This window comes from Homo sapiens, chromosome 3, assembly GCF_000001405.40.
Source record: "Homo sapiens chromosome 3, GRCh38.p14 Primary Assembly".
NCBI lineage: Eukaryota > Metazoa > Chordata > Mammalia > Primates > Hominidae > Homo > Homo sapiens.
In genome coordinates, this window is record NC_000003.12 from 22055418 (window position 1) to 22083376 (window position 27959).

The following is a 27959-nucleotide window of genomic DNA, read 5'->3' on the forward strand; positions in this document are numbered from 1 at the left end:
AATTTACAAGAAAAAAACAAACAACCCCATCAAAAAGTGGGCGAAGGACATGAACAGACACTTCTCAAAAGAAGACATTTATGCAGCCAAAAAACACATGAAGAAATGCTCATCATCACTGGCCATCAGAGAAATGCAAATCAAAACCACTATGAGATATCATCTCACACCAGTTAGAATGGCAATCATTAAAAAGTCAGGAAACAACAGGTGCTGGAGAGGATGCGGAGAAATAGGAACACTTTTACACTGTTGGTGGGACTGTAAACTAGTTCAACCATTGTGGAAGTCAGTGTGGCGATTCCTCAGGGATCTAGAACTAGAAATACCATTTGACCCAGCCATCCCATTACTGGGTATATACCCAAATGAGTATAAATCATGCTGCTATAAAGACACATGCACACGTATGTTTATTGCGGCACTATTCACAATAGCAAAGACTTGGAACCAACCCAAATGTCCAACAATGATAGACTGGATTAAGAAAATGTGGCACATATACACCATGGAATACTATGCAGCCATAAAAAATGATGAGTTCATATCCTTTGTAGGGACATGGATGAAATTGGAAACCATCATTCTCAGTAAACTATCGCAAGAACAAAAAACCAAACACCGCATATTCTCACTCATAGGTGGGAATTGAACAATGAGATCACATGGACACAGGAAGGGGAATATCACACTCTGGGGACTGTGGTGGGGTCGGGGGAGGGGGGAGGGATAGCATTGGGAGATATACCTAATGCTAGATGACACATTAGTGGGTGCAGCGCACCAGCATGGCACATGTATACATATGTAACTAACCTGCACAATGTGCACATGTACCCTAAAACTTAGAGTATAATAAAAAAAAAAAAAAAAAAAAAAAAAAAAAAAAAATTCAATGTGATACAGATACCTAGAGAGTACAGTAAGAATGGGATAAAATATAAACCGTGTGTTAGTTTAGGGGCTGTCTATTACAGACCATGGCAAAGATGATAAGCTAAAATTCCATCAAGGATCATTTAGGTGGGAATGTCACCAGGTGAAAGATACCCAAGATAAAACTGTAGTGAGTATTAGGATCCATGACCCGTTATAGGGTGTACATCTTCCTAAAGCCATTCCAATTAAACAGAAAAGAAAGTTTAAAAATGGTTCTGACCAAAAAACAAAACAATAAAACAAAAAGAACTCTACAAATCAAATTCAGCTGGTGCAGTTTGACAGTTTTAATTCAAAACTATTGTTCAGTGTACATCAGCTATTGCCATAATAATGCTGTGTAACAATCCACAGAAAAACTCAGTGGATTAAAACAATTGCCATTTATTCTCATGCTTACAGGTCTGAGGGTAGATTGGAATCAGTTGATCTCAGATTGTTTGGCTGGCCTTGGCTACAGGCTGCAGGTTCAATTCAAATTAGCTCCATGTGTCTCATTGTGGAGCCCAGGCTGAATGATTAGTAACCACTCAGAACAAGAAAGTAATTATGCAATCATAAAGTCTCTAATCACATCATTTTCACCAAAATTGCATTGGCCACAGCCAGCCTCATGGCTAAGTCTGAAGGGAAGAGGTTGGAATATATACTCCGTTTTCCATGAATTTGTGTCAGAAGTGAGAAGTAAAACAGATAAACAAAATATTGAAACTAATAATTTAACCTACCACATCTGATCAGTTGCTACGTGACCCTGTGTAAGATATTTGTGTTTAAAACTCAGGCTTTAGAAACCCATACACCTGATTTAAAGTCTAGCTAATCTACTCACTATTGTACAACCTTGGGCAAGTTAATTAAATTTTCTCAGCCTCAGTTTATCTGTTTATGAAATAGAAATTACAAGAATAATAATACCCATACCTCATAGGTTATAAGCATTAAATCACATAATCATTTTAAAGTGACTAGCACTGTTCCTGGAACGCAGTTAACATTAAAAATTAACATTAGCTAACATTAACTGTGTTAGAAAGGACTTGAAGTAGGAAAATTGGTATTATGCTTTTACTATATCAACTGATACTGCAATTAAATTGGATAAAAGCAGATGCAAATTACTCCAAAACATTATTTATTTATTTTCTTTTAAAGTATTTTTTTTTTTTTTGAGACAGAGTCTCACTTTGTTGCCCAGGCTGGAGTGCTGTGGTGTGATCTCAACTCACTGCAGCCTCCATCTCCTGTGTTGAAGCAATTCTCTTGTCTCAACCTCCCGAGTAGCTGGAACGACAGGCAGGCGCACACCACCACATCCGGCTAATTTTCTTATTTTTCCTAGAGATGGGGTTTCACCATGTTGGTCAGGCTGGTCTCGAACTCCTGACCTCAGGTGATCCACCTGCCTCGGCCTCCCAAAGTGCTGGGATTACAGGCTTGAGCCACTGTGCCCGGCCTCACGTTTTTAAAACCCAATTTACTTTTCCTGACCTCCATACCCTGGAAGCAGTAAATGGACAAATAGGTAAATTGAAATAAAGACTGATGGAGAAAATCATTACAGTTCATGGTTTCACTATGACAAACATGCCATTTAGGCCATATTCTTGTTTATCTCAATCAAATAAAGTAATGGAAAATAAGTGAATGAATAAATGAATGAATGAATACATCACAACCAAACTAAAACAATTCTTGTTGGCTATACACACCCTTCTAGGCTGTGCTACACAAGCTGACAGACAGCAGAAAGGAATTTCATGCTGGTCCAAAGATATGTGGTTCCTTAAAGTATTGGTAACTCATAAGTTGATAATTCAACTTTATGGCACCATCTAATTTGATTTCTTGTTGAAAAAAGCAAACTGTATTAGAATACTTTTTGCTTCAAATGATAGAGTCAACTCAATGTTGCTTAATTGAAGAATAAAAATATACAGAAGGGAATTTGATATTAGCTAATTCAACAAGCCGCCCCTATTGTCAACAGTTGCCTCACACCCAAGCCTCCAGGATTCAAGCCAGGATAGAACCCTATTGTTTAAAAGGACTGGAGAATATGGGTTTGCTCATTCCAGCTCTCCCCATTTTATACTTACTCATAGCCTCTTTAGAGAACTGGATAATGGCTATCACACAAAGTGAGGCAATGTTTCCAACTCCTAACTGGTCAAAGGACATGAGAGGCAGATGAGATCTTGGTAGAGTCAGGAAAATGAGGGCTGTCAAATAATTTCAGGATTATAAACTAACTTGAGAGTTTTAATATTTAAATAATTTATTGATGCCTAAATGAAAAAATGGGACATTACCATTTGTTTTGTTTATATTTTAAAATATTTTAAGTACTCTAAAACATTTTTTATTGCAAATCTATACCATTTCAAATTTATATGTTAACTTTTGGAAGCCAGTCTGAAATTTTAACCATAATTTGTAATTTGCTTTGTATATTTGGTTAAAGCCCTGTGGGCTGCCCAGATTAGAAATGGCTGGTGGTTAGTGGGGACCACTATCCACCTCCATAGCAAGAAGTTTGGTGTCTTCTCTTAATCCAAATCTTTTCCTCTTTACATGATCTTCAGGAATATTTACTAGCTAAGAATATAATCGAATTCAGGGAGATTAATTTCAATCACCCCTAAACCTCCTACTAGGTCTGATTTGAGGAAAAGGAAAAGGACATTGGTAGGACACATTGTTTGGGGCGGCCAAGCAGCTGGGCAATCACTGGACTCCTGGAGGTGGAGCTGACTTGGCTCAAGAATTAACCTATCAGGAGTTATTTCTTTAAAAAGGACCCTGTGTAATCATTGGAGGTGACTGCCCTCTGGTCAGGACTGAGCATTAATTTAAAGACTTCTCATTCAGTGACAGGTGTGTGGGTAAGGGAGGAAAGAGAGAAAGGGAAAAGAAGAAGAAGACAGGGCCACAGGGACTGTGTGTGCATGAAAGGGAGAAGTGTGTAGTCTGGGTGTTGGCATTTCTAAAGCTTCCCAGGTGAGTCTATGTTGCAGCCAGCAGCAAGAACCAGAGAATTGGGGTCATTCACTTTCTTAACATCAACACCAACCTTGTGGTTGGTTTTAAGAATATTTTCTTCTAGGAAACACTGTCCCAAAATAAGATAAGCGATGAGTGACAGACGTATCTTTCTTTTGCAAAGCCAGAGAATGTCCTTTGTGATAGGGTTGGTGGTGGTGGTGGTGAGTGGAATGTATACAAAGTTGTGAATCTGGAAACATTCCCTTAAGACCCTTCATCAGCTTCTTGGAATGCCTTTGAGTTCTCCAATGGGTATGTGGAGCACATTACTTTGAAGACCCCATATAAGTTTCAAAGAGCAGAGATTTTTCGATTTTGTTTGCTGCTGTATCCCCAGGGCCTAACCACCCATAATAGATGCTTGTGAGGGTTAATTTTCTGTGTTGACTGGGCTAAGGGATGCTCTGGTAGTTGGTAAAACATTATTTCTGGGTGTGACTGTGTGGGTGTTTCTGGAAGATTAGCATTTGACTCAGTAGACTGAATAAAGAAGATCCACCTTCACCAATGTGGGCAGGCATCATCTAATCATTGAAGATCCAGATAGACCTGGATAAAAGTGAAGGGAGGGTGACTTTTCTCTTTCTCCACTGGAGCTGAGACATCTACTCTTTCTTGCCTTTGAACATTGGGAGCTACTGGTTCTCAGACCTTCAAATTCCAGGATTTATACAGCCTTCCTTGCCCAGTTCTCAGAACTTTGACCTCAGACTAGGAGTTACACCCTTAACTCCCCTAATTCCCAGCCTTTTAAATTTGGACTAAATTACAAGACTGGCTTTCTTGAGTCTCTAGCTTGCAGATGACAGATTTTGGATCTTGTCAGCCTTCATAATTATGTGAGCCAATTCCCATAATAAATCCTCCTCTTATACTGTGTATCTCTGTATACCCTATTGGTTCTGTTTCTCTAAAGAACTCTGACTAACACAGTGCTCAATAAGTATTTGTTGAAAAATTAATGTTTAACACTAAATTCAAAGTGAATTTCAATCAACCATCCACACATATTCTATTTTCCATAATTAAATGAATAAAGTAATAATGAAGGGACAGGAATAGCATAGTGAGGACTTTTTCCAAAGATGAAATTAAACCATTACTTTGTCAATAAGTTTTCATTTTGTAAAGCATGTTTCCTTTTTAGAAATTGAAAATGCACTAAATGTTCTGGGAAATTCTGTTCACATTTCCAAAACTTATTTCAACAATGAATTCATTTTAGATCTCACTTAAAATACGTTAACAGCCATGGAAACTAGTGATCTTAGAGCATGAGGAAATGAAGTTTTAGATGATTAAAATTAAAGATATATAATATAGATTATTATTGGGTTAGCACTGTTCAACTAGAAAATAAGAAAGTCTAATAAGAGAAGCCATCCACGCAAGGGTTTCTGAATATAAACAGTGAATTTTAATTTAAAAAAGAAAGTTTTGCAGTTTAGTTCTAATTGCTTCATTATTCAATTACCAGACAATTTTGGCTCTTAAGTAGAAAAATCTATAAAAAATTTTAAATTGATAATAAAGTTAATTTCATATCAAATTAAAATTAAGTAATGACATTTTTACTAAATAACTGTTAAATAAATGTATAATAACTTGATAATCATGGATATTTAAAAGGTTTGTTGATTTCTCATTCTCTGAGGGCAGTATTAATATTACTAGAGCTCGGGTAACAGGGAGAATGTTAATTTAATCACCTGATTAATTAAATTAAATTAAATTAAATAGTTGCAAAGAATTATTCTCTCAAAGTAAGTTGGTTTTCTGAAATTCCTTCTGTGGCAAAACAGTCTGAAAACATCTCAGCAGTGAGCATAAAGTATGAAGAAAAGTAGTCATTTAAATATTAACTGAATAATATCATAAGGCCAAAATCCTTTGGGTTTATTCCTTATTCATTTACTTTTCTTCTGTCCAAATGTATTTTAGTCCCCCCATTTCTTTCTACTTTTCCTGCTTCCACCTATTCTAAGACATTGTTACCCCTAGATTACTGTACCCACATCCCTGCTGGAAGTCCTGCTTAAACGTTTACCCCACAGAGTTTATTCTCTCAAGAGCAGCTAGAATCTCACTCTTAAAAGTATACCAGATTATGTCACTCTTTTCTTCTCAAGCCTCCCACAATAACTCCAAAGTCTTCAATTCCTATGGTCTCCAAGACTCAGGATCTGATCCTCAATTACATGTCCAGCCCCATTTCTTGTCACTCTCTTTCAACAGTTCATCCATACAATGAGTGTCGATTCTAGAATATATTAAGTGTTATCTTGTCAAAGAGGCCTTCTATGACCATCACATCAAAAATATGTCTTTCCTTCCTCTCCCTTTGCCCTCTACCACTGCCTCTGTACACACACACTCCACCTGCTATTACCTTTTCCTGATTCATAGCGCTCATCACAATCTGGATTACCTTTCTTTACACATCTAGTTATTTGTTTATTGATTGTCTCTGCCACTAAAGTGTAAGATGTATGAAGGCATATTTTGAGCTGTCTTGTTGGTTGCTTCATCCCCAGCACCTAAAACAGTATTGGTGAATACCATGCATTCAATAAGTATTCACTGAATACATTAGTAAATAAAATAATTTTAAACATGGAAATGCTTATTGTTGCATTTAATTTTAATTTATTTTTGAGGCAAGGTCTTGTTCTGTTGCCCAGGCTGGAGTGCAGTGGCATAATCATGCCTCCCTGCAGCCTCGACCTCCTAAGCTCAAGCAATTCTCCCACCTCAACCTCCCAAATAGCTGGGACTACCCGGGACTACAGGCAAGTGCCACCATGCCTAATTTATTTTTATTTTTATTTTTATTTTGTAGAGACAGGATTTTGCCATGTTACCCAGGCGGACTTAAACTCTCGGGATCAAGCAATCCACCCGCCTCAGCCTCCCAAAGGGCTGGAATTACAGCCGTGAGTCACTTGCGCCCAGCCTGTTGGTACATTTTAAAATAATCTTTCTTCTAAGTGGAAGAATTAACATTCATTTTACTTTATAACACTTTAAATGAGCAAGTCTAAGTTCATAACTAAGGAAATACTGCCATATAAAGGACTTGCTTCTTGCAGCAATCATGAAAGTTGTTTCAATTAGTAGTGAGCCTAACTTGTGATCAAAATTTGAAAAGTAACCATACATGCTACTTTAAAATATTTAACATTGTGGTGGTTTTAAAACATACCCACAAATTCTGACCCCCTCGCCCCCAAAGATGCACTCTATCTTCCTTCCACGTAAGTGTGGCCCAGGCTTAGTGACCTGCTTTTCAGGAGTAGAGTGTAGTAGAATTAACAATGTATGGTTTGTGGGAGTTGGTCATAAAAGACATTGCAGCTTTCTCCTTGCTGTATCTCTGGAAGATGCCAGCTGCCATGCAGTGAGGACATACACACAGCCATATGGAAATACCATGTGCTAAGTAACAGAGGTCTCCTACAAACAGCCATATGAGTGAGTCTTCATGAAAATGTATCCTTCAGCCCTAGTTAGGCCTTCAAATGACTGCAGCCTGGGTGATGTCTCCACTACAACAGAGGGAGAAATTCTAAGCCAGAACCACCCAAACAAGACACTCTCAGCCTCATGACTCACAGAAATTACACGGGATAATTTTTTTTTATTTAATCCATTAATCTGGGGGTAATTTGTTATGCAGCAATGTGTAACTAATACAGAGATATAAGGTACTTTTCTCACTAAAAGAAGACATTCCTGAATCAGCCAATATGCCATTTTGGTTAATTTTTTTAACCTTTCTGAACTTCAGTTTCTCTATCTGAATAATGGGAATATTATCTATTTCACTGGTTTACTGAAAAAATTAAACAATTTATTGTAGTGAAAAATTCCTAGAACATTGTCTGATTAATTTTGGTTTACTTCCTTTTTCATCAATGAGAAACCAACAAACATACATCATTTTGATTAATCTTCTCTTAAAATATTAATAAAAATTGAATAAAGCCTCAGAGTTACAGAGAGCCTAGTTTCTAAAAGTATCATGATACAAAATTTCATCTGCAAGCAATTTATTTAGAATATTCAATAGATTTTTACATAAAACTTCCATGTAAAATGAGTATAACACTTGAGAAGCCCACTAAAGCCTATTAAATTCTCTAAAGTCCCTAACAATAGTTACATTACAAATAAATCAAAAATAACCCTAATGATATGGTAATATATTTGTAGAGGATGCTGTGCTCAGGTCCTCTTTGAAGGATTCATGCCCCAGCTGCTAGGCATGCTGCGTGCTGATAGCCCTCAGCTCTCTGTCCTCTCCAAGAATTATACTTAGCTGAAAATAGGCGTCTCACCCAAAGTCACACCCTCTTCCCCTGGGCAGCCTGTATACCTTCACTGGTTCATGTGGAGCTATGTGTCCAGATTCCTTGCTCCAACTAAGTACAACTCTAAAGAGTTATCCAAGCTCCAGAGCTCCTTACGGGCTGGCTGAGGCCTTTGTTTTGACAGCAGGACACCTTGATTTTCCATCTGCCCAGTCTTTCCTCCTTCCCTATAACCCACAGTTATTAATCCTGAGAGCATGCCCCAATACAGTTGCTGTAAGCAAATATCCATCTCAGAATTTGCTTCCCAAGGAATCCAAATTGTGACATTTTTTATTGTAGTGCACCTCATGCTTCACACTTTGTACCTCACCTTTAGGGGACTGCTAGGACTTCAGTCTAGTTATAGGGCTAGAAATCAAGAGAAGTGGAATTGTTGGTCCTCAGAAGACTCAGTCTTGTCTTTCATGGTGATTAGCTCAGGAGAAGCCATGACAGTTTGCTCAGGCAATACAGGGGTAATCCTCTCCGAAGGGGTCAAAAGAGATTCTCTAACACAAATGGTGTTGTTTAAGGAGTAGGAAATTTAATTAGAAGAGCACAGAGGAGCAGAGATTTTTGTGATAATTTGCATGGTGATTTTGGGACAACTTCAAAAACTGTTAGAAAGCAGAGCATTTGTTGCTTATATGTATTTCTTTAAAAAATTTTATCCCACTTCTGGATATATACCCCAAAAAATTAAAATTAGTAGGCCAAAGTGATATCTGTATTCCTATGTTCCTTGCAGCACTATTCACAATAACTAAGATAGGAAAGCAATCCAGGTGTCTGTCATCAGATGAACAGATAAAGAAAATGGGGTACATATCCACAATGGATTGCTATTCAACCTTATAAAAGGAGGAAATCCTGGCATCCACAACACCACAGATGAACCTGGAGGACCTTACGCTAAGTGAAATAAGCGAGACACAGAAAGACACATATGACATGATCTCACGTATACATGGAACCTGAAAAAGTGGAAGTCATTAGTAGTATAATGGTGGCTGCCAGAGTCTTGGGCAGAGTCCTGGGTGGGAAAAGGGAGATGATGATCAAAGGGTATAAAGTTCAGTTAGAGAGGAGGAAGAATCTTTAGTGATCTATTGCACAGCATGGTGATTACAGTAAGTAACAATGCATTGTATATTTAAAAAAATGTTTTCTTAAAGCTAATGTATCAGTAGCATGGTTGACTTAGCCATGCACAAATTATATTATGACGGTATAATGTTGTAATTAAGATAGACTTTAGAACTTTAGAAATACAAGTTCAAATCCTAGTTATGCCACCCACTAGCTATAAGTCCTTAAACAAATTAGTTAGCCTTTCCTGGCTTTGATTTTAAATAGAAACATAAACAATAACTTAATACAGAAGATGAACTTATTGAGAGAGTGTGGAGTTAGTAAGTCTTAGACTCAAAGAGAGTGTTGTGTGGCTATTCTCTTGCTCTCCTCGTAGGACTGGGCAGATTTGCCAAAAGAAGCACTGATAGAGAATGAGGACTTTTAAGAAAGCAAGATGGACATCTCTCTCTCATCTAGCTCGCTGTCCTAGCTAGACAGATGTCTGCAAAGCTGCAAAAATAGTCCAATCTATGCCAACACAGTGCTGGGGACTTGACTGCAAAGAATGATGCCTGCTTTTCTAAAAAACACACAAGATGGAAGGCAGCTGGAACTCTCTACAATGGCAGGGTAGGGGCAACAAGAGGTTGCACCCTACACTTTCATGTTAGAGTGGGGCAGAGTTGCCAGGTGAGTGTACAATAGCATCCAGATGTGAGCTCACTTGATGGGATCCTTACACAAGAGGAAATTGGGCATGGTGAAAAGATCAATTTGTTGAGGAAAGGACTGAGTGTGTGGAGCTCGCAAGTGGTGAGTTCAGTTAGGCAAATACACAGGACCATAATCTAAAAGTGTATGTGTGTGCTGTGGGGGAATGGTATTCTCAAAGAACATAACACACACTGCATAAAAAAACCAGCACATAAATGTCTATCATGACTTAAGGGCACCAGTGGCCACAAATTGTGTAAGTCATAAAATATGTTTTGTCTTTTTCTTTTAATCTCTTATCTCCTCATTTTGATTCTGGAAGATCCAGAAGGGAAAAGAGATAAAGATAAAGACATCACGGATCACAGCCCAACTAAAATTGGCCAGGTGGAGTGAGGAGAACAGTATCTGAGGCTCAGTTTTGACACTGGACCACCTAAGGATTATTTATTCCTGAAAGTGAAAATTATCAAAAAATAAGACCGTTCTTACAACTGAAAGTGACAAAAGAGCTGTTGTATCTTCCAGAGATGTTGTCAATGAGCAGGGAAAGGGGAGCCAACCGAGAAGAGTTGAAAGATGTGATAGGAGGAAAAAAATACCATTTTTTTTCTGATGCATATTTTGTGTTCAGTTCATTCAATAAATTAGAGTCAAAAGTTATGCTCAGAAAAGAAAAGAGAGACTGCTTATGAAACAAGTGTAGTTTGGAAAGACCAAAAAATGAAGGAAAGGGGAAAACAATGCTTCTTTGTAGCTAAGGAGTGTGTGTGTGTGTATGTGTGTGTATTAGTAAAAAGATACTGGGCGAGATGGTTCCCTGTGTGTGTGTGTGTATGTAAAAAGATACTGGGTGAGATGGTTCCCTGTGTGTGTGTCTGCGTGTATAAGTAAAAAGATACTGGGTGAGATGGTTCCCCGTGTGTGTGTGTGTGTGTGTGTGTGTGTGTGTATGTCTGTAAGTAAAAAGATACTGGGTGAGATGGTTCCCTGTGTGTGTGTGTGTGTGTGTGTGTGTGTGTGTGTGTGTGTGTGTGTGTAAGTAAAAAGATACTGGGTGAGATGGTTCCCTATCTGTGCACCAGTGAGAATTATAAGATCAGGGCAGCTTTGGTGTTGTAGGAGGCAGTAACAAGGTTAGAAGAGGAAAATCTAGTTAGGAAGTTACTGCTAAGAAGATAAGTGATGTGCACTTAGATATTCACATTTACTGGATGTTTCCTAGTTGGTTGTTCATGACCTGAGATGTGTCTATTTCTGGAAGAGAGTAAGCCACATGAAAAAGAAATTGAAAATATATTTCCTTGAAAACATAATCCAGGTTGCTAAATAACTTTTACCTACGCTGAATGCTTCATCAAAATCAATGATGCCTATAATCAGAAGTACCCCATTCTTGTTTAGTTTCCCTACTTTCTAACATCCATCAAGTCAGCAATGGATTATGAAAGTCTAGATCACGCTCAGGCACCTAATGTGACTATAAAGAAGCGATCTTCTCTCCTCAGTGGAATTACTCTTTTAATGTTCTTCCTTTCCAATTTACATTAGTTAGAAGCTGTTAAAGTAATGGTACAGGCATTAGAAAAATAAAGAGAATATGGAAAGAAAGATTGCTTGTGTCTCTGTTTTATTCATCACACTGCCTGTTGAGTTTATATCACTGGCTTCAAATTTATCCAGTTTCTTTTCTTTTATGACTGGAGACATTAAGGGCAACCTGTCATCTCTGTAAAATAACATTTGTAGTACTCTCAATCTTCTCAGTGTAATCTTTAATAACTGTCTTATGTTCAAGTTGACAGCAAGCAAGTAATAAAATGCCTAATATCATTTTATAGGTCACATAATGCAACAGTTTATTTTAGCTCAGCAGGGCAATAACAGGTAACAGATAATGAAGTCACTATAGATTTGTATAATATAGTTTCTGAGTTGGCAACAGCTTCAGAAAAGGCTTAGAAATCATCTTTTAAGCTATGACAAAACAGAAGTGTATATCCCATTTCCTCTCTTTCTAATGATTCATAACACTAAAGTTAACTCAGAGGTGGTACACTTCAATGTTCACAGCTGATGTATGTTATTATACAAACAAATCAACTTTTTAATGGGAAAGGATATCTTTCTCCCAGAACTTCAAATTATATAAGGGAAAGAAGCAATTATTCTACAACTATTTAGAAATACAAAAATATCTGGCTGGGCATGGTGGCTCACGCCTGTAATTCCAGTACTTTGGGAAACTGAGGTGGGCGGATCATGAGGTCAAGAGATCGAGACCATCCTGCCCAACATGGTGAAACCCTGTCTCTACTAAAAATACAAAAATTAGCTGGGCTTGGTGGCACACCTGTAGCACTTGGGAGGCTGAGGCGGGAGAATTGCTTGAACCCGGGAGGCAGAGGTTGCAGTGAGCCGAGATCACGCCACTGCACACCAGCCTGGTGAAAGAGCAAGACTCCACTGGAAAAAAAAAAATCTAAGACTTCTCTGATCAATACAGTAGCCACTGGTTACCTGTGGCTTTTGAAATTGAAATAGAAATTAACTGAATTTAAGTAAAATTTAAAATTCAGTAACTTTGAGAAGGTCTTAGTCATTTATTACGGTTCATCTGCCTTACTTTATCTTCTTTATTAGTTGTAACATTGTTCTCTTAGATGCTCTTTCAGACAGTTGTACTATCACTAGACACTGTGATGCTAATTCTATTCTTTTTTTCACCTAGTAATACTGTGTCTCTTCAAACGAATTGATACTTTGCATCAGTTTTAGTTCCAGCTTAACACTCTGAGCTACACTTTACCGCCTGTCCCTTCATGAGCATTAAAACCCGAGATACTGTCCTTAAGTCCTATATCCAAGTGTAGTAAACAGACATCTGAATGTCTCTTTTTCCTTTTCTTTTTCTGTCTACTCCCCCACACCCCATTTCTCTTTCCCTCTTAAGCTCTACTAATTCACTTTACCAATTTAAAACTTTTTATTATATTCTTTTGAGGATTTCTCCTAGCAGTTGGATCTGCCTGGCTTCCTACAGGTTCAACATGATCCATCCACACTCTGTCTATTTAGTGACATTTCTTTGATCTTTCTTTGGCTCTTCTTTTCCACATTTCCTCTCACATATGTGAAAGGCCTAATTCTCATAATAAATTTCTTTTTCTACATACTCCTAGTTAAACCCTGATTGAACTCTGACTGATAACTTTCTACAGCTGACACGTGAAGAAAAACATTACATTAATATTGGCATATGCACAACTGTGAAGAAAATGCTTCTAGCAACAAGTAACATGGGGCCCGCCCAAATAACAGTAGCACAGATCACAGTGACACTTAAAGTCAATTTAACAATAAATATGGAGGAAGGTGTCTCAGGATTGGTACAGACACTTCCAGATGACATTACATATCCAGGTGCTATCTTTACTCTCCCTTACCCTCAGCTTTAACCTTGTTTTCATGCTCAGTGTTTTACTGTCACAAGATGGCTGCCACATCTCTAAAATTATATGTGTTCAACTAGTAAAAGGATATAAAGATCTGGGCTAGCTACAGGTGTTTGTTGTGTTATAAAAATTAACATTTTAATAGATTCTCTCCCAACTAACTTCTCCTTATATCTCATTGGTTAGTACTGGCTACTCCCAGCTCCAACAGGGTCTGAGAAAATGAGATCACAGTGACTGGCTCAGGGTGATGATGGATAATCTCTTGGAACTGGCAAATGGTTCTACATACCCTCACCACAAGAGATCTCTCACCAATGACCAAACAAATCAAGCTCCTGGTAGAATAAAACGAATATGAGAAGGATGCAGAATGCTTTTTGGGTAGGCACTACAACTAGTGTTGGCCTCGGGGTGGGGAGAGAGGAAATGATATATTAAACAAGAACCCCGAGGGGTGTGAATGTATAGTGCATAGGCAATATAAAGGTAACATAAACAATAATAATGGCATGCTAACATTTTGGACTTGACTCTTTGAAAAACTGAAGCTATTAGAAGCAAAAGGATGGCATAAGTATATCTGTGTTTTAGAATGGTATCTAGTGGAATTTTTTGGCCTCTAAGAATAAATACATTCTCTCCACAATGACCTCTTCATTCTATCATTTTCCCTGAAAAGGATCAGTGAAGATGAAACTCAAGGATTCTGGGCCCTTTTTTAGATGTGAAGGTAATAAGTGCACATCAGTGATAAGTCAACTGGGACTCCTCCACATGGCCCTATTGCTTTTCTTCTTCTGTCCCATGAAATAGTCAGACCCAAGCCAGCCACGTAGGAAAACCCCACTGTAGGCAGGTACCTTCCTTTGCTCTATGTCTCCTTTTGCTTTACTGCTGGTTCTGTCTGCTACAGAATGGGTTTCAGAGTGCCAAGCTCTCAGCAGCACCTTCAGAAAGAAAGCAAGCTAAGGCAAATAAGATAAAGCTGTTTGTTACTTTACTATTCTTGGTACTTTATTTTTAGTGTCACTAACTGTCTAAATTCTGAATTGTATGCTGACATTGAAAATGGCCCTTTCCTAGAATTAAAAACACATTAATTTCCTATTTTAATAATTTCCCACAAATGTTCACTTAGAACTTTAAAGATAAGCATCTTATTTTCTAACAACAAGCATTATCTACTCACATGTTGTAATTTAAATCAGTGGCCCCATCCCCTTAAAGCACAATTTAAGTCCTGGATAAAGAAATAGGTCCACTTATTTTTAAGTGGCATCACCTATAATTATATGCATATATTTCCTTTTATATATACATGAAAGGAAAGCAATATATACTACAGAGAAACGGATGCCTATGAAGTAACCCGCTTTCAAGAAAAACATTCCTAAGTTGTAAAGCTTTATATTTAATATGTCATTATATGGTAGACATTGCTAATTGTTTCTGTTGTATTTTATAAGAGAGAGTTGAGTACTTGCTTCATTATCTCAAATTTCACTTAGGAAAGTGAAATAGGTTTCTATGAAAGTTCTTCCCATCCTAGGACACACTGTGATGAAAGATTATAAAAGGATGAAACTATTTTCAAATGGACAAACATCTGTTCTAGTCATAGAAAGTACTATAGTAAGTCCAGGGTAGAGGACATGAGAAAATAGTAAATAAAAATGTTGAAGAAAAAAACAAAGTTTCAAATTTTATAATGTTGAAGCTTTATTAAGGGTAAGGGGAATCTATATCCTGAGTTGTGAAAGTAAGTCATGAAATCTCAGAAAGCATTAAAATTAATGAACAAGTTTATTTCCAATGATATAATTTATAAACAGCTTACAATTTCAACTGGCTTCAATTTAATCACTTTTGTTAAGTTTTCTTCTGTCTTCAGAAAGCACTTACTACATTGAAATATTTAAGAAATAGTCTTATTAACAGTATAGGTGTTAACCAATATTAGGAAGAATACGGCATTCTCCAGTCTGCCAAAATTGAAAGATTTTTACCTGTTCAGTTGCCAAATCTATGAAAAGAATAAAAATATTGATGCACTGAACACTTTGAAATAGAAAGGTAACATGATATTTATGACATAGCTCAGTCCTGGATACAGAATGCTCCTGTGCCTGGCTTTGCACAGCAATAAAGAATGCATATGTTTGCATTACAACTTAGCTTTCTCTTATTCTCTTTAAAAGCTAAATTCATAATATTTGACATACAAATAATATCCCAAAGGTTCCAACTCATTCTTCAGTATCTCTATATCATCTTTATCAAGCTTCTGTCCCAAAGTTGAAATCTTGGCAACATTCAAGGTATACAGCAACCTATCTAAACAGTGAAGAGCCTAATATTTTTCCCAAAGCAAGAAAGAGATTTTTCCAGAAACCTGAGGAAGAAAATATTATCCAGCTTCATACTAGAGGTCACTAGGTGATTGAAAAGAAATTGCTGACATTTATCTCTCAACTGCACTTCTGATGATTAAATCAACTACAAACCTGCCTTCATTGGCCTTTGCTCTAAGGAGCCACCTTTGAAGTTAATTTTATGCATTCCTCCATACATGCTCCTCACTTTCCCTGTAATATTGCAGAGAATAAAAATTATATGATGGGTAAGCTCAACATTTCAACATACTTAGAAAATATCCCTGATTATTTGAGTAAGCTCACATTTTCTTGGGGTGGCAGATGAATGTGAAGAAGACGAAGAAGAATGAATTACCAAAACTATCTTTTCTCTATGGACACCAACAAGATTAGTAAAAGGCCTAAATCTAGTTTTCTCCTCCTGGCCATGCAGTTAAGTGCCTAAGACAAGCAATCATACTCTTTTTGCTCTGCCATCTGTGGCTGGGGCATTTGATGATGGCCCCATCATAAACTGTCTTGACGTAAATCAAAGATTATTAATACAATGGTCTTGCAAGGTCTGGTAACTCATTCTATTTACCAAGAAACCTGAAGTAAACTGTCAAATTCAGAAAAAAAGATACATAATTCTTTTCTTGAGATGAGCAATAATTTATACCTGTAATACCCACCATGTATGTTTATTGTAGCATTACTTTCATTTATCCATATTAGTAACTATGATGAAATTAGGCATTGAAGAAACAGAATCATGAGATTATAAATTAGACACCTCTATTCTAAGTTAGTTTTATAGAAAGTGACTAAAGCCATCCTGTGGCAAGCAGAATCTGAAAAAGGATAGAATTTCTTAATTGGGCATGGAAAATTCCTGAACTAGACATGGGCGAAAGCCATGTACAACAGATGCTGTGACCTTACTTTGGCATTATATACTTCTTGGAAGTTATTTGTGAACGGAAAAATAAAAAAAAATGTAACCATATTATTAAACTACTCAATGTTTTGGTTATATAAGAGGCTTCATCTGTCCTTCAAGCAGAATGAAGCACTCTCTAAACAATCTCATCAAGAATCACTAGAACTAGAACTCGTCAGCTGCTTGCTGAAGAGCTGGTACTGAAAGAAGTATTATACTTACTAACTTTTCTTCTATGGAGATTGGTTATAGAGTTGCAATTTTTAGGAAGGAAAATGATTTTCAAATTTAAGGTATATTGTTATATTACCTAATCAAAACTAAAAAGAATCAAAGGAAAGAATGCTAGATAGGAAGGCAAGAAGGAATGGAGAAATGGAGAAAAGGAGAAAGAGGGAGAAAGGGAGAAAGAGGGAAGGACACGAGTAAAGTCAGACAAGGAAGAAAAAAGAAGAAATATTGAAGGTTGGGAGAAGGAAGGAAAAAGGGAATGCAGAAGAAATAAGGAAACAGAACAAAAGGAAAGGTAAGGACTGGATTCTTAGTGTCCTAGAATACATATTCTTCCCTGAGCTTGTGCTGTTTGATTTGAAATTGAGATTCCCGGGAAGATTCAGGGCCAAGAGAAAAGCATTTGTCCTGAGCACATAGAGAAGGGAGGCCACCTTGACTGGATTGCCTCTCAGATGGTTTCCAGGCACTTTCAATCTTTTCAGAAGTTCAGACTTCTAGCTCCAAACACCTCAAGTCACCATTAAACTAGAAAGCTCTTCAGAAGGAAAAATGTAGCAATCCATAAGGGCAGAGACAAGCAGTCCTGGAAAGGCTGAAGGTGCCCTCAGAATTTACCTGCTTGAAACAAAGCTAAGTTCTGGTCAAAATCTAGACCTTTGCTGTGTTTAAGTCCCAAATAATTAATTAAAATCATCATTTGCAGACAAATCTAATAAGATTTCCCTTTTGGATTCCTGCTTTTTATTTTCTAAATTACTTTAGGTTAAAATTAGTTTTATATGAAAAAGAAACAGACAGTGAAAAAAAAAAAAAGGAAATTCGTGTAATTTCCTCTGAAGCAGGGTGGGGTGGGTGAGAGGGTAAAATGTCATCATTTCTCCATATTTATTGCTTTATTCCTTAGGGGAAAAGAACTTTAAACTTCCAGAAATTTAATCTTTCCTGAAATTTAATAATTGCTTTATTTTTAAAAAGTGTAAAAAGCCATACACAACAACCTTTCTAGGGTAAAAATTATTGGCAAGGAATAAAAAAGCAAGGGTTCTAGCCTCATTTATGCCATGAATTATGAGATTATGCAAATAATTTAGGCTTTTTATTTTTATTTATATTTGTCTGTAACAGGAGCATAGTACCAGCTATCCTATCTTACAAGATTGTAGGGGGAATTAAAGAAATGGGGGGTTGGACAGTTTGTATTAAGAACTGTTTGCTGAATTGAAGAATACATTTGGATGCTTTCTGAATAGGTAAAAGCATACTATTTTTAGAATTTTAAAAAATACAGAAAGAGGTTATTTATTTATACTGAGAAGCATTTTCTCTTTTATAAAACAGCCTTTACGATTGTTTTATGCCATTCATGAATAGTTTCGCATCCTTTAAAAGGGCAGTTTATCTTCATGTATTAAAAGGAACATCATTATTAAAAATCTATTCCTTGTTTCTGCTTATACTAAAGTACATTGTCTTAATGTTCTCTTCATATGTCCAGGGATCTTAAAATTTGGCTTCTGATTATTCTGTACCCTAAGTAACACTTTGGAAGCATTAATATTTTCCCAGGATACTTTTTTTCTTTTTCTGTGTACCTGTAAGATGAAGACATCTAGAGGGAACTTCCCAAAGGGTTTTACAGAAACAAGTGTCAACAGCTGTGCAATTTGTCTGTGCCAGCTCATTTGCTCTGAAGAGAAAAGGCAAAGACAAGCTGATCCACAATGATCAGCTGGAGTGAAGACATTGATTATGTCGATGCAGAAATAATTAGATACATAGTTACCATAAACAGCCTTTGATGTGTTTCAATAGCTGTAATTCTATCCTTTGCTATCATCCAGCCCTTGGCAGAGAAGCCAACTCTTAATTTTTCTATGGGTGGAGCTAAGCAAAAAACATTGAGCCCAATGCCTAATACTAGAAAATTACTAATAAATGATAGTTGAACATGAATCTTGCATATTGGTTACTTCTGATTATCATAAGAGAAAATTATATAAGCAGCCTGAATGTTTCCCTTTTTAAAATTCCTGATTCAAACCTCATATTGATACTGCCTGGTATTTCTATGATATTTCCATAGTTTGTTTAATTCCACAATATAAGAAAAAACCTCCATTCTTCAAATTTTTATGCTCCCATTCTCCAATGAGGGGTCATTTGATAACCTCACATATACATCATTGAAATACTCATACCCTGGTCTTCCCGACACTGTTCAATCTTACTTGTTCCATCATCACTTTCCCTTCTCATGATAATAGATGAAGTGGGTCTCTGTCAAAAGTACATCCTTTCACTGAACTCTGGAACCCTTCCCTTTCACATCTTCATGTGGACTTTCTTCATTCTATTAATTCAGTGGTTCTCAACATGAGCAACGTCACCATCACCAAGAAACCTGAATCAGAAATGATGGTGAGAAAAGGGGGGTGCTTCTGAGGTATTCTAAAGTTTGAGAATCATATTTAAGTTAGTTCAATAGCCCTCAATATTAACTACATATTTGAAACTTGCAGAGTAATTTTTTAAAAATACTAATTACAAGGCCCCACTCCAGAGATTTTGATTAGCTGGTATGGGATTGGCCCAAGCATTGATACTTTCTAAATCTTTCCAAAAGAATTCAACGTGATACCAGAGTTGAGACCACTTATGGGTAATAGCCTTTCTCCTATGTTTTTGATCTCATTCCCACCAGTAGATTATTCCCTTCAGTTTAGATGCACACTCTAATCACTTAACTTAAAAAATTTTCCTTTCCAGTTTCCCTAAAGATTCCTCTCCAGAGGCCTAATGTGCAATCACCTCTCCTCCCTCATCCCAATTCATTCTTCAATTTCACTCTAATCTGATTCCTATTCTCAACACTCCATTGAAAATGCTCCTGCAAAAGTTGTCAATGAACTTCATATTGCCAGAGCCAAATGATGATTCTCTGCCCTCATCATCCCTCTTCACTTTCCCACTCTCTCCTTAACAAATCTTCTTTCTTGGATTTCATGTAACTCATGCCCCTGGTTTTCTCTTCCAGAATGACCACTCTTTTCTACCATCTTTTGTAAGATTGTCCTTCTCTGTTAAACTACTAAAGTTTAAAGATCTTGAAGGCTTATGCTTGAGTTCTCTTTTCTTTCTTGTACTTTCTTTCCAAAGAAGTTTTGATACATTCTCTTGGCTTTAAATATTATCTACAAAAACCCTCTCACATCTATCCCAGATTTTTCTCTGAGCTTTAGCTTCAAATATTTAACTGCATTTCCTATTCTCCTTTGCAAACCGCAGGAACATTTCTATCTTCAAATGCATAAATGAGTTCAACTATAACTCTTCTTGTCTTCCCAAACTTCGTAAATACCATCATAATCCATCCAGTTCCTTGAGTTGGATGTCAATCTCCGAATGTGGTGAGGATATTCTTCGCTTCTTTAATTCCCCATGCCCAAAAGACAGCAAGTCCTACAAATGCAAACTGCAAAATATATATGAAATTCATCCAGCTTTGTCTCCCCCATTACCAACTGAGTCTAAACTACTGTAATTTTTTTTACGTAGACTATCACCTTTTAGTTTCACTTCTCACTTCTAATTTGCCTCCTTTTCATTCCATTTTCCACTGAACTTCCAGAAGAATCATTTGCAAATCTACATCAGATCTTGTAACTCACCAATTCAAAAGTCCTCATTAGTTTCTCACTTCATTCACAATAAAGATACATTCTTTATCCTCCATTATTGTGGCCTGGTCTCTATCTGTCCGACTTCTCATGTCCTACCCACTATTCCCCAACCTTGGTCACTTCGGTCCAGTCTCTCTGGTTTTCTTTCAGTTATCCATATGAATATTTCCCATGGCCCATTAGCTGGCTTATTTTTTAATGAATATTCCCCCACATCCTATTTTTTAATCATTTGGATCTCAGCTTAAGATTCATCTCCCAAAAGTGAGGCTTCCCATAACCAAACCACTTAAAGTTGGTCCTCCAGTGTTATGCTATAACACAGTCTCTATTACTATATAATCACAAACTACAATTACGTATCTATTTGTAATTGTTTATGTTTCCTAGCCCAATTGGACTATAAGCACAAGGACACGTCTGTGGTTCATAGTTTTATCCCTAGTATCTGTCAAAGAACATAGTCCAGAGTAAGTGATCAATACTTGTTTTTTAATGTCTGCATTTTATATTCGGGTTAGGATTGTGCACCAATTACTCTTCTGTCTCTAATAACAAATTGAAAAATATAGTGACTTATTCTTGGACAAAATATTTGAAGTTCAAGATCATATTCTCCATAGATCTGATTAGGAAATTATCCATTTTAAAATTCTGTATGACTGTAAGTAATTACAGAAAAACAGATGAATAGAACAATGAACATGTGAAAAAAACACTCATCTACCTCTGAGTAACACGTTTTTAATCATATTAATATGTAAAAGCCACCTTCCAATTTATAAGGACTCTTTGGTTAGAGGCCATGCTTTAAAAATAAGTGTGAGTTATTTTCAGAAATAGCACAAGACCTTAATACCCATAATAACCATATTTAAGGAAAATTAAAAATATATATAATAAAAAGCATTAACAGTGTTAGTAAATGATTATGTAGCAGAGGTATTGCTATAGTTCAGTATTGATGTCTACTTTTTGTTCAGACTATATGAATGTTTCATTTCTTTACTCTTTTACTGTATAATTGCACTAAGCATAAATTTTCCTGGACTAGATTATGTTCCCATACAGAATTTTGGTTAAATTCTACTTCTTCCATGCCTAGTTTTACCACTGTCAAAAGAGCATCTTTTGGTGGTAAAGGTAGAATAATTGAAAAATAAGCCTAGACACAAAAGAGAAAATGAAATTAAAATTGTCCAACATTGGTCATTACCTAAATACATCATCTATGCTGATGTAATTTGGTCCAGTTCAGGCACAACTAAAATAGGCAAGATTTCTTATCAATAGATTATTCCAGAAATTGGTCTTCTTTTGTCTTAGCAAAGGCCCACTAAGGGTGAGGTTCTGTATCTAAATGCAAAGCAGACTTCCTATTTAACACTTTCCTTGATGAAAGAATCAAATAAATATTTGATGTTTTTGGCACATATTTGCTATTGTTTTGGTTCACATGTAATGATTTCCCTCATACAGAGATGCTTCTCGGCAGATGTTTTAGAGTGCAGTTGTAGCTGCCTACATAATTTCTACCTTAGAAGCTGTTTCTAACAACAACAAAAGAAATGGGAGAAACAGAATGTCAGTCTAAAGCATCATTTTAAGTAATAGGTGTGTTAGTGATAGGTTACTATTTATTCATTTTCCATGTGAGACACCCCCCACTCCACTTGTAGAAAATGCTCAATCACTCCATGTCTGATACCTGAAACCTGACTGTGGAGTATCTGCACTGATGGCTGACAACCTGAAAAGTCCTAGACAAAAGACAAAAATTGGGTTGGCCAAATAAAGATCATGTATTTTTATTGGATTTCAAAACTGAAGACAATCTATCTTAAATATGCCTGAAATTTGTGAGTACCATTTTAGTTTCCCCGGATTCCTTCTCATGAATGCTAAAAGCATGGGAGAATTTCCTAGGCTCATTATCGGAAACGTCAAACTGGATATGCAATGTTCAAAATGTTTAACAAACACCTTTTTAAAAAATAATCACAGCATAGACCCTTTTCAAAAGATATAAATGATTTGGTTGTTTGGTGTCTATATTTTGAGAAAAAAATATGTTGACAAATTAAACGCTTGAATGACTGCATCGCATTGCAATATAACCAAGTATGCTCATCATTTGGTGATCATAACAGATAATGTTGACCAGGCTCACAGAGAAAATGATCCAACCATGCAGTGCTACCATCAAGTGTGAATGTGTCCTTCTCAATTATTTATTACTTTTGCTCCTGTCAAAAGATGAGTGGATAAGGATATGGTATTGAGACATTAAGTCTCAAAGTTCACAGATGAGAGGATTTTGCAACACTGTATGAAGAAAATCAAGCAAGGCACAGTGCTTATCAAGGCAAGGAAGTTCAACAACAAAAGCAGTAATGCCTGGTCACCTTGTTGACATTATCTTCAAAACAGAAATCTCTAATAGTGACAGGTGATGGCAATCAGTGTGTTTTCAAGATACTTCTCAGGCATGGCTATCAGGAATCTGTATCATAAGTATTGGCAAGTTGCAGAAGTAAATGTCATAAATTTGAAAAAGGACTTTGAAAATAACTTTTTTTAATATAGGATATGGTTTCAAAATAATATGGATATATAAGCAAAGATAAGTTCTATAATACTGTGCATACAGACTCTTACACATAAAATTTTAAATACAATAATGTTATTTCTAACAAAGTATGCTTTGTCAAAAAATGTGTGGAAATTGACCTATTTTTCTTTATTTCAAGTGTGTTAAGATTATGTATGCTTACCTTAATTTTGGAAGGTCAAAAACTCTTAGTTTTAGAATAACCAGAGCTTACATGAAAGATGTAGAAGACAGAAGTGGAATCAAAGTTAGTCAAAAAATGTGAACAGAAGTGTGGATTAAATAGGAATAAACAGAATGAGTATAAGTGTCATGGATTACTGGTAACCTACATTAGCCAATGCTAAACTTGAGTGCCACAGTACATAAATAATTGTAACATTTTCCCCATCATTAAAATGCAATTAGCTGATAAAAGAAATATAATTGCAACAAACCAAACAAATTGATCAAATGATATATCTGCTTTGTAAATAAGCCTTCAAAGTACAAGGTGTTACTGAAAAATATAATTTAAGAATCCAATAAATAAATTACATGATTACAACATTAATTATATAATTAATATAAAAATATGAAGTAAAAATTGACATTCTGTTGAAGATCTTTTCTATAATTCTAAATGGAGGGGTTCAACAAAAGTTTAGCTTGGAAACTGGAATGGGGAGAGATTTCTGAAGTGAATTAATGGTAATTACCAATTAGTAGATGATTAGGACAAAACAAAAAAGTTCCCTCACCATTTCGCAAAGCAGGTCAGAGCTTTTTTATTATTGGGAAATGACAGCATCCTACTCTATATAACAGGGAGATACTGCACTAAAGAAGATTATTTTGGTTTCATTGATAGCATAAGGTATCCAAAACCAGATTAAATATGTCTTTATTTGTATCATTTTCTCTTTGAAGGATGGTTTTTTCCTTTGGTTTTTAAAATTATAGCAAATAGTATATCTAATGAGAAAATAAAGACCTTGGACATACGGGTATTAAAAGACATACGTATGAAATGCATACTGATGACTCTGATCTTTGTGTATGTTTTAATTTAGGTCCTTAGAGATTCAAATATGTGTGTGTGTGTATGTATGTATATGTGTGTACATATATACATATGTATATAGATAGATAGATAGGTATTCTAAAAGCACCAGAGCAGTTATTTTAAATATATGTTCAGAGAAAGAATATCAAAGTTGTTACACTTTCCTGGTAGACTGCCAACCTACACCTATGTTAATGAAGACACAAAATGTTCAGGGATCGTTTTATAAGATGTTTTTGCCATTACAGTTTGTCATATAATTACTTAGGAAGTTCTGAAATGTGCCTGTCTATGTCTTTAATAATATGGGTCCTGAAAGATAATGGATCCTGGAAAAATCATTGTGTTTTATCTCACAAATTTAGAGTGTTACTGACACAGTAGAGTCTAAAAGCACCAAAGTTCTAATGATCTTGTGTCAGTCACCCAGGAGACTTTAATGCATAAATGACAGTCATCTATGCAGCTGAGACACTTGCTTTAAACTCACATGCTGAGAACACTCATTCTACTTTTGTTTTTAGAGAAAGCAATGTTCATGATCAATAAATAAATAATCTGTTTTCACCCCATATTTTGATGGAAACTCATAAGCTTTGAAGGAAACTAAAATCATATAAATAAAAGCTTTACCAATAAGCGGCCACTCAGTATATAACAGTTATTAACTTTATAAACTCTTATACATATATGGTTGTAATAGCTACAGATTTTATATATAAAAAATTTTATATTTTATATACAAAATATACATTTCCGTATCCATTTTATATATGAAATACTTCGATAAATATCGCTATATTCTGAATGTTTTTTGTCCCCCTAAAATTCATATGTTGAGTTCCTAATCCCCAAGATGATAGTATTAAAAGGTAGGGCCTTTGGGGGGCAATTAGATTATGAGGGTGGTGTCATTTTGTTTGGGATTAGTGGGTTTTATAAATGGGACCCCAGAGAACTAGCTAGGCCCTTGCTCCACGTGAGGACACAGTAAGAAGGCACCATCTATGAACCACGAAACAGACACTCACCAGACACTGACCCTGCTGCTTCCTCAATCATAGACTTCCCAACATGCAGAACTGTGAGGAACACATGTTTGTTGTTCATAAGCCACCCAGTGGCTTATGATACATATGTATGTGTATATATGTCTATACACACATGCACACACATAAATTTCTTTTCCAGATATCTCCAACTAAATTATAAATTTTTAAAGGTCAACAACCATATCTTACACCTCTTAATGTCTCCTATATCCACTACATTTCTCTACAAAATGTAATAAATGTTCAATCTATGATTTTTATTAGATATTTGTTAAATTAAAGCAACTTATTAAAATTTTGCCCCAAATTCATCCTATCTTATTTTGTATTTCATCCATCTGTGGGTCTTAATTTCAAATACTGGGAGCTATATAGTATAGAACTGGGGATGCGAGCTTAAATTCTTATTCTCCATTTAGTAGCTCCATTCTTTTAAGCAAGCTGCTCAGCCTCCATGTCCTAAAAAAGATCCAAATTATCTAATTTGTAAGTTTATAGTGAAACACACATATACTGTAAGCAAGTTTTTAGAACTATGAAATAATGTAAAAATTAAGATGTTGTTATGATAATGGCTGAAGCGAGTTGAGCTAGCCATTCACCAAAACAGTTTCCTCTTCCTCATGAGCACACAGGCAGCCTACACACTTCCAATAGATAGACTGGTGTTTTAGATGATTAAGTGTTGGCAGCCAACTGTTGTCACAGTAAGCTGGGACCAAAGCCTGTCATCTACCCTGTTTTTTACAAGTCAAAATTTGATGGAACATACAAACCTTTCCACGGCAGCCTTTGAGTTAAAATGGCAGAGTAGTTATGACAAAGACTCTATTGCCCCAAAACGCTAAAATATTGATTCTCTGGTCATTTTTTTAAAAAAGGTTGCTTACCTCTACTTCAGCAAAAACAAAAATACAATTGTGTATGAATTCACTGAAATTCCTCAATTTGCTTGTTATAGTATATAAATGATCTTAGCTAACACAGTGATCTTATCACCTCTTAAAGCTATTGCTTCCCTCTCCCCTAGTAGTTCTAAAGGCAGTTACTTATTTTGTGGTTGGGGTTTTCTATTTTTTTTTTTTTTTTTTTGCTTGTTTAATATTTTTAATTAAATAACCAATAGAAATGACTTCGAACTGCAGTGTTAAGAATTTTCTTCTGTTCCAAACTGTCTGAATACGAACAGCTCTGGTCTGCAGCTCCCAGAGTGATTGACGCAGCAGATGGGTGATTTCTGCATTTCCAATTGAGGCACCTGGTTTATCTCACTGGGACAGGTTGGACAGTGGATGCAGCCCACGGAGGGTGAGCTGAAGCAGGGCAGGGCATCGCCTCACCCAGTAAGTGCAAGGGGTCAGGGAATTCCCTTTCCTAGCCAAGGGAAGCCATGACAGACAGTACCTGGAAAATTGGGACACTTCTGCCCTAATACTGCACTTTTCCAATGGTCTTAGCAAATGGCACACCAGGGGATTATATTCCGTGCCTGGCTCTGTGGGTCCCATGCCCAGGGAGACTTGCTCACTGCTAGTGCAGCAGTCCGAGATCAAACTGCAAGGCGGCAGCCTATCTGGGGGAGGGATGTCCACCATTGCTGAGGCTTGAGTAGGTAAACAAAGTGGTTGGGAAGCTCTAACTGGATAGAGCCCACCACAACTCAAGGAGGCCTGCCTGCCTCTGCAGACTCCACCTCTAGGGGCAGGGCATAGCTGAACAAAAGGCAGCAGAAACGTCTGCAGACTTAAACATCCCTGTCTGACAGCTCTGAAGAGAGCAGTGGTTCTCCCAGCATGGTGTTTGAGCTCGGAGAACAAACAGACTGCCTCCACAAGTGGGTCCCTAACCCCCGTGTAGCCTAACTGGGAGACACCTCCCAGTAGGGGCCGACTGACACCTCATACAGCAAGATGCCCCTCTGAGACGAAGCTTCCAGAAGAAGGATCAGGCAGCAATATTTGCTGTTCTACAATATTTGCTGTTCTGCAGCCTCTGCTGGTGATACCCAGGCAAACAGGGTCTGGGGTGGACCTCCAGCAAACTCCAACAGACCTGCAGCTGAGGATGCTGACTGTTAGAAGAAAAACTTAACAAACAGAAAGGAATAGCATCAACATCAACAAAAAGGACATTCACACCAAATCCTCATCTGTAGGTCACCATCATCAAAGACCAAAGGTAGATAAAACCACGAAGATGGGGAGAAACCAGAGCAGAAAATCTGAAAATTCTAAAAACCAAAGCGCCTCTTCTTCTACTCCAAAGGATCGCAGCTCCTCGCCAGCAATGGAACAAAGCTGGACGGAGAATGACTTTGATGAGTTGACAGAAGTAGGCTTCAGAAGGTCGGTAATAACAAACTTCTCCGAGCTAAAGGAGGATGTTCGAACCCATCGCAAGGAAGGTAAAAACCTGAAAAAATAGTAGACCAATGGCTAGCTAGAATAAACAGCATAGA

At 36.7% G+C, this 27959-nt stretch overlaps 1 protein-coding gene across 8 annotated transcripts in view, besides 3 other annotated features; it reads right to left on the minus strand.

The window, feature by feature from the left end:
* The window catches only part of ZNF385D (zinc finger protein 385D), a 960546-nt gene that overhangs the window by 643200 nt on the left and 289387 nt on the right, over positions 1-27959 (minus strand). The window lies entirely within an intron of this gene.
* Positions 6152-6321: an enhancer, noted in NCBI's record as "experimental_68287 CRE fragment used in MPRA reporter constructs". NCBI's record gives its function as "activates a minimal promoter by MPRAs in K562 erythroleukemia cells, with activity observed for the introgressed 3:22103146 variant allele {active_cell/tissue: K562}" and the evidence as "EXISTENCE:reporter gene assay evidence [ECO:0000049][PMID:34662402]".
* Positions 10304-10473: an enhancer, noted in NCBI's record as "experimental_68298 CRE fragment used in MPRA reporter constructs". NCBI's record gives its function as "activates a minimal promoter by MPRAs in K562 erythroleukemia cells, with activity observed for both the introgressed and non-introgressed 3:22107298 variant alleles {active_cell/tissue: K562}" and the evidence as "EXISTENCE:reporter gene assay evidence [ECO:0000049][PMID:34662402]".
* Positions 21025-21194: an enhancer, noted in NCBI's record as "experimental_68318 CRE fragment used in MPRA reporter constructs". NCBI's record gives its function as "activates a minimal promoter by MPRAs in K562 erythroleukemia cells, with activity observed for the non-introgressed 3:22118019 variant allele {active_cell/tissue: K562}" and the evidence as "EXISTENCE:reporter gene assay evidence [ECO:0000049][PMID:34662402]".